The sequence below is a fragment of the Homo sapiens genome, chromosome 9 (assembly GCF_000001405.40).
Source record: "Homo sapiens chromosome 9, GRCh38.p14 Primary Assembly".
Classification (NCBI taxonomy): domain Eukaryota; kingdom Metazoa; phylum Chordata; class Mammalia; order Primates; family Hominidae; genus Homo; species Homo sapiens.
Window position 1 is genome coordinate 126,047,423 of NC_000009.12, and position 7,569 is coordinate 126,054,991.

General features: G+C 56.5%; 1 long non-coding RNA gene across 1 annotated transcript; it reads right to left on the reverse strand.

Moving 5' to 3' along the window:
* Positions 1 to 4,565: 4,565 nt before the first annotated feature.
* LOC105376273 (uncharacterized) lies at positions 4,566 to 5,564 on the reverse strand. Its single transcript, XR_930355.1, has 3 exons — positions 5,113 to 5,564; positions 4,813 to 4,927; positions 4,566 to 4,673 (listed from the first exon to the last, which is right to left on the reverse strand). It is a non-coding gene; the product is annotated as an uncharacterized LOC105376273 (long non-coding RNA).
* Positions 5,565 to 7,569: the final 2,005 nt, after the last annotated feature.

Consider the following 7,569-nt stretch of genomic DNA (forward strand, 5'->3'; position numbering starts at 1 on the left):
ACTGAGATTGCTGGTTACACTGTGGAGAAAAGCCGGACCTTGGAGGATGCTGGACCCCTTCTGTGTGGGTGTGGGTGTGTGTGCATGCATGAGTGTGCATGCGTGAGTGTGCATGCTTGCACTTTTGTGGCGTAAAGGAGGTTTTGAAATTCTACAGTCCCTGCCCTCTTCCCCACCCCTCACCTGTGGCAGCATCAGTCAGCTAGTGTCTCCCAGCAAGATTTCTGCACTGAGGAAGTGGGTGGGACACCCCCTCACGCCCAATACCCCTCCGCACCCATAGGGGACTTCAACGCCTCAGGGGTGACTCCCAGGACAGGGGTCCTCTTCCTCCTCCCCTCCCACCAAGCCTGCTCTGGGGTGAAGTGTGGTGGGGGTTGTGTGAATATTGTGGGGTGCACAGGACCCATCCAGCAGGATGGGGTGGCCGCTGTGGGGCCCAAGAAAAGGCCAGAGGATGTTGTCTGTGGAGCAGTGTCCAGACTGGCATCAGGGCAGGGGACCCCCCCATTTCTTAGGTTTCCAGGTGGGTGAGTTGAACAGGAGGGAGGCGGTTGGTATAGACGGGGTGGGCAAGGAGGATTATGTGGGAGAACAGCAAACACTGCCTTTGAGGGGTGCTGTGCACTGGGCCCTGTGCAGGGTGGGGCTGGGGTCTCCCGCCTGTTCCTCCCAGTGGCCTCCATTTCACTGATGAGGCAAGGAAGGCCCCTGAGGTTCACATGGCTGGTGAGTCAGGGAGCCACTTCCCAACCCAGACCTGGAATTGCCAGGCCATGGATCCAGGGGCTTGACCACTCCCTCCCTGCCGAGGGGACGGGGCTTGACTCATGCTCAGACGAGAAGGTCTTGGGGCCTGGGAGGCCGGGGAGGGGGCGTGGGACCTCCTGAGTGGGCAGAGGGGTGTTCAGTCTTAGAGATGCAGAGCTGCAGAGGCACAGAGGGGAGGGCAGCTGCCTTGTCCTGGTGACCACAGCCAACCAGGGACTTCCTCACTGGGGCCAGTAGGACAGACCCGGGTGGACAGGCTTCCAAGCCTATTGGAGACACCCTCCAGGATTCTCAGAAGTGCCTGGGGTGTCCCTGGGGGTTGCTGAGATTCTGCATCATGCAGGCAGGCCTGGGGACCAGCAAGAAGCTTGCATTGTGGCTGTTAATTCCTGCTATTGTTGCCTCATGTACGCACCCAAACATGGGGCGCTGGGGCATTTGGGGTTCCTCACTAAAGCGGGAGAGCCCTGCTCAAACCACAGAGTGGTGCTCATAGTCAGCGAACGGGCTCTTTGGAGCGTGGCTCGGGCCCTGGCAGCTCTGGGTTCAAATCCCAGCTCTGCAGTCTCCACCTTGGCCACCCGTCTGGGCCTCTGTTTCCACATCTGTAAAATGCGGCTGGCTGTGTTACTCTATAGGGCTGTTTCAAGGACTCAGTGAGATAATAGGCTCAAAGCATTTATTAACACAGTGCTGGCCCAGCAAGGCAGGACAAGCTGCAGGGCCTCTGTGGAGGGGAATCTACCTCCCCGACACCAGCCTCTAGGGCAGGGGTGTCACACTGTAATTATCTGTTGGGGCACAGACCACCCATGACACTTCCGGTGATTTTATGAATCTGGGAGATGAGTTCCTTAAGGAAGAAACTTGTCCCCCTCCTGTCCTGGGCCCAGGGAGGGACTGGTCGCCAGGACCAGCTGTGTGCTGTAGTGGCCACGAGCAATGCTTTATGGGGCTTGTAAAAGCCGCTGACCCTGCTCCCTGGACTTAACGAGGTGAGCAGGGCCCTGGCAGTTTGCAATAACCTTCAGCTCCAGCTGAGCCTGGCTGAGCCCGGTGACCTGAGAGGGGACAGGGATGGGTCTCATCTCTGCTTGAGACCCTGGCAGTCTCAGCTGAGGGGTCTGGAGGAGGGAGGAAGGAGGCTGACTTCCTACATCCCAGAGTGCAGGGGGCGCTGGACACCAGCCCCAGGACATCTGTGACCAGGGAGCAGAATCAGACAGACCAGGGCCTACAGGGTCTTGGACGAGCTGCTTCCTGCCTGCTCCCAGCCTCGCTTTCCTCCCCTGTCTGTGAGGCAGGGGTCATGATCCACACCTGGTAGGTTGTCCCGAGGTTGGAGAGGGAGAATGTCCTCAAAGAGCCCAGTACGAGTGCCTTAGTGGGGTGGCGATGGGTCAGGACCCCCAGGGCAGAGACAGAACCTGGGCTCAGCTGTGGCAGCCTCTGCTCCATCACTCAGCCTAAGTTTGTTGTGGGTTTGGGTCTCTGCTTCCCAAGAGGGAGCGGTCCCAGGATCCCCCAGCGAGGGTACAAGGCGGGCTTGGAGGCCAGGCCTTCTTTCTCCCTTGAATTGGTCCCCAGAACTGGTGGCCTGGAAAGTCTGCTCTCTGCTGTTGATGCAGCTCGTTTTGTTTTCATGAAGTAGGGCTGTGCATACTGCTTGGGTCGTAAAAGATGGCGAGGGACATTAGGGGGCAGTTGCCCTCTCGGAAGGGCGGGGATGGTGGCCAGTGGCCCACCATGGTCCAGATCCAGGCCCGGGGACACACGTGGCCATTCTTAGACAATGGCCCCACTGCCTAGGTGGAGGCGTCCCCTGGGACGGGGGTGGGGGGGACCACACACTCTGGGGACTGCGTGTCTTGGATTTGAGTCACCAGCAGGGGTCCTCTCTGCCAGGCTGGCTGGTCAGGGCGGGGCGCAGTCATTCCTTCATCCACTCAGCCACGCTCGTCTGTCTGTCCGTCCGTCCAGGGACCTGTTTCCTCCCTCAGCAAACATCCCTTAGGCGCTTCCTTGGGGTCAGCACTCTACAGTTCATGTTTTTTCCAATCCTTAGTACAACCTGATTCCCCTTTTCCACAGAGGAGGAGACTGACGTTCAGAGGAGTCAAGCCCCCGCCCCGGCCTCGCCATGAGTTCCGAAGGGGAACTCCAGTCCTTCCGCCCCCAGCCTTCACCGCTCCTTTGTCCTGGGTGCCCCCTCAAGGCTCGGGCTGGAACTAGGGAAGTGGGGAGGGTGGTGTTGGAGGCAGAATCACCGGGGACTCTGGAAGCCCCAGAGACCTGTGCTGTCTGTCCTTACAACCGGCAACTTGCCTCAGTTTCCCTGCTGAGCATCCAGGACTCCATGGGCGTCAGAGACCTAAGTCAAAAGTTGGTCTGAGAGGTCCCGGCTAGGGACCTGCACCCTCTCCCCTCCCGTACCCCTCAGCTCCCACCACCAGATCCAGTTCTGAACAGCCATGTGATGGCTCTTAACTTTCTCCCGCTCTCCAGCCCTCTCCCCTCCCCTCCCCTGCCTTCTGTGGACCCCTGGAGACCTTCACAGCGTGGCTGGCTGCACCCTCGGGATCCACAGAAGGGGTGTGGAGATGGAGGACGGCGGGGCTCCAAGCTGCTGCATCCTCCCAGTCACGTGTGATCCTGGGGGGACACTTTCCCCTGTCCTCAGTTTTCTCATCTGTAAAACGGGCCTCACAGAGGCACAAGAGTGTCCCCCTTCAGGAAGCATGCGGGCCTGGGTTGGGGGACAAACACATGGCAGACCTCTCCCTCTGACTCCTTCTCCCCGTCCCTGTGGTGTCAGCCATAGGTTCCCCTCAGCTTCCTCTCAGCCTTTTTAATCAAAGTCTCAACAGTCATCAGACCAATGTGCTGCTGTAAAAGATCCCATTTTGGCCAGGTGCGGTGGCTCAAGCTTGTAGTTCCAGCACTTTGGGAAGCCAAGGCAGGAGGATCGCTTGAGTCCAGGAGTTTGAGACCAACCTGGGCAACGTAGTGAGACCCCCCCCATCTCTATAAAAAAATTTAAAAAAAATTAGCCGGGTATGGTGGTGCATGCCTGTGGTCTCAGCTACTTGGGAGGCTGAGGCAGGTGGATTGCCTGAGCCTGGGAGATAGAGGCTGCAGTGAGCTGTGATCACACCACTACACTCAGCCTGGGCGACAGAGTGATACCCTGTCTAAAAACAAACAAACAAAAAAACCACTTTGGGGGAACGTGAATGGGGGCTGGCCTTCTGCTCTTTCTGCTCCTCCCAGCTCTGACTCTGGGGCACGGTCCTTCATCTGCACAGGGTTTGTAGGAGGATCTGGGGAGACACCACAGAAAAGCCCCCAGCTCCCAGCCCAGGGGAGTTCCCCTCCTGTGATCCTGGCCCAGGCTCTGGCCCCCAGACGGCTCCCAGTGGGGGTGGCACCTGCCGTTCTTGAGGCAGGGGTGTCTCCCGCTCCCATTTTACACCGGAGCTTGTTTGCCAGGCACTGTTCAGCAGCCACATTTGGCCTCCAGTGGGGTCTATGTAGGCATCTGGGTGGTCCTGAGCCTCCTTCTGAGGGTGTCCTTTTCCTGGGGGGCAGGATCCAGGGGGATGTCTGTGTGCACTTGAGGGCACGACAATGGGGGCAGCTGTCTCAGGCCCCTCTCCATGTGGCTTGAACTTATCCTGCCATTTCCTGGGCAGGGCCCCCGTACTCCAGGCAGTCACCCCCACCCATCTGATTTCCCTTGGACGGGACGTGGACCACCTGGGACACATCTCGCAGGGCTGAACACCTACCATAGGGCAGCAGAGCACAGGGTTCGAGCCCAGGCTCTGGTGCCAGGGCTTGTGTTTCCTAGCTGTGTGACCTCGCACGAGTTGTTTAACGCCTCGGTGCCTCAGTTTCCTCCTCTATAAAATGGAGATAGTAATAGTAATAGTGGGGCTTAGTATGGATTAGATTTTCTAACCCTTATTAACACAAGCAAAGTACTTGGGACAGTGCCTGGCACCATTAAGGTGCCATACGCGTAAGGTGCCTCTTACGCACCTGGGATTCGCTTCTCACTGATGAGGTCCCTGTTGTCCCCACCTAACGGATGAGGAGACGGAGCTCTCTATGCCTGGTTCTGGAGATCTCTGTTCGCCGACTCAATCCTGGCTTCCTAGCCAGAGATTAAATGGTTCCTTGAGAGAAGGTGTCTCTTACCTGGTGGGAGGCACTCCAGGCAGGGCTGGGGCAGGTTGAGGGTCCCTTCTGGCCATCCCTTGAGGACCAGGTGAGCCCTGGCCTCACTAGAGAACTGGCTGGACCAGAACTCCAATTAAAGGTAATTCCCTTTTTTCCTACCTTGAAATTCCTATTGATTTCCTCCCTAAATAGAAATTCCCATTGATTCCTTGTCTGTTCAGATTAGTGTCCTCAGCTGCAGCCTTCGGTGCATAATATCTTCCCCCTTCTTCCCAGGCCCCAATACCTCTTCCCAAGGTGACCCTGCCACCACCTGCTTGGCTGGGCCCTGTAGCTTCCCCAGCTGGGGTGGGAGACAGTGGGCTGGGAGTTGGGCCTGGGTGGGTCCTGGATTCCCTCTGCCTGCCCATCACCCCACTTCATTTTTGCCCCAGGTGGAGATGAGGCCGGGAAATGAAGATAAAGATGTCACTGTACTTGGACTTGGGTCCACCTCATTGGTCCTGCCTCTGCCTCTGCCTAGGAACCATTAGCTCATTGCTCAGGTGGGGAATTGAGGCCCACAGAGCCATCGCTGGCAGGAAACAGATTTCGCATGTGAGCAGAGGCGAGGTCCAGCTGGGCAGTCCCTGAAGGAGGGCCCCCACCTGCCCGGGCTCCCCTGCTCACATTTGATCACAAAAGCTGATTGTTAACCTTTCAGAATTTTGTGAGCTGGTTGATGTCATGTTGGTTGCTTAAAAATCAGTCATGGTGGGAGTATTCACACCACGTGAATTGGCAAATGCTGCACATCAGGGCCTCTCTCCCCTCCCCGTTTCAGTGTTAAAGAGAGCTAGTTGTTAAGCATTTACCTGCACACCACTAGCTCAGATTTGCCTCTCCTATTCTGTTGCCCACCTCTCATTCCAGGAGTCCCGGATGGCTCCAGTTTTCTGCACCCAGTGACCTTTCGCACACCTCCTTGCTTTTGCCCATGCTGTTCCCTCTGCCTGGGGTGTCCTCAGCATCTTTTCTTTCCGGTGAAATCCTCCAGGACCCATCTCAATTTCCTTCTCCTTCTCTTCCCTCCTTATCCCCTGGGCAGGGCATGGGAGTTCAACAATCCAGAAGGCAGACCTGTCTAGGTCCCTATCCTTAGAGACCTTACAGCCGGGGGACATGCCTCAGAGCCAGCTGTGTCACTCCAGCAGATGGGTGACCTGTGGCAAGTCATCGGACTCCTGGAGACTTCAGTTACTTTTCCGGACAGTGGGTCTGGAAAATGCCTGGCAACACCTGCCCTTGGGGAGCAGGACCAAGCCCAGTGTTTGGCTGGGACCAGCTTGCTGAATGCCCTTGACATCCCCATGAGGAGGCATTAATACTGTCCTCATTTTGCCTCTGAAGCAGATGAGGCACAGAGAGGCAAAGGAACATATCAAAGATCACACAGCTTCTCAGTGGAAGAGCTGGAATTTGAGTCTGCCCCTGTACCCACCATGCCCCTTGGCAGTGATGGCAGTGACGAAGCCCTCTCTGGGATCAGGCAGATACCTCGATTCTCCCTGGGCCAGTCTGGATTAGAACTGCCCAGGTCTCAGGCTGCCTCTCCCCCAGGCTGCGGTCTCCTCCAGGTAGAGATCTGGGTCTGACTCTCCTGTGTCCCCAGTGTCCAGCCCAGGGCCAGGCACTAAGGTAGCAGGAGGATGAATGAATTTGAGAGGCAAGGTCTGATAGAGCAGCAGGCACACAGACCTCCCTGACCACACAGGGTCAGCGGTGGAGGAACGACAGAGGAAATGTCAGTCGGCTCCATGCCCAGCCCACCTCTTAATCTAGGATGGGCAGACTCTGCACACGCAGCAGCTGCCACTTATCTCAGTTTCCCTGCCTGGCCTCCTTCCACTGGGATTAGAACCTGGAACTGACTCTGGCTTAGATTGGTTGGGGGTAAAAGGAAAGAAAAAAAGAGAATGGAAATAAAGACATTTTTGAGTGCCTGCTATGTTTGATGTTTGACAACTGTTATTGTGATGAACATCCCACAGAGTAAGGGCTCCTGAACCCACAAGGTCAACTTGGACCTTCAGACCTAGGAACTGACATGCCCAAGACCATATGGAAAGTCATCTCCTGGGCTGGGGTATGGCATCATGCAACGTCATGCAATGCTGGAGGCAATAGCTCTGGGATCAAAACCCACTCTGCTGCTTCCTAGATATCCGCTGTGTGACTTGGGTAAGTGACTGCACTTCTCTGAGCCCGTGTCCTCAACTGTAAAAACAGACGTGATCCTAGCAAATGCCTCTCCCGGCTGTGGCAAGAATCCAATGAGATTCCGCTTGTAAACAAACCTCCCAGCACTGCCACCTTGCATGCAATAAGAGCTCAATACGGAATAGCTGTTGTTTTTCCCTCTTTTCCTGGTGCTCCCCAGATCCTGACCTGCTCCCACTAACCACCGAGTCCTGGCTACCAGTGGACTGACCTCCTGGAAGCCTGGAACTTCAGGACTTACCCCTTGACTGGGCCAACCTTGGACTCAAATTCTCTCCACCTTGGGCTGACCTCTGCCTAGACCCACTGTGACCCTGGAAGTTCTGAACTGGACTTTGTTAGAATTGTCCCCTGTCC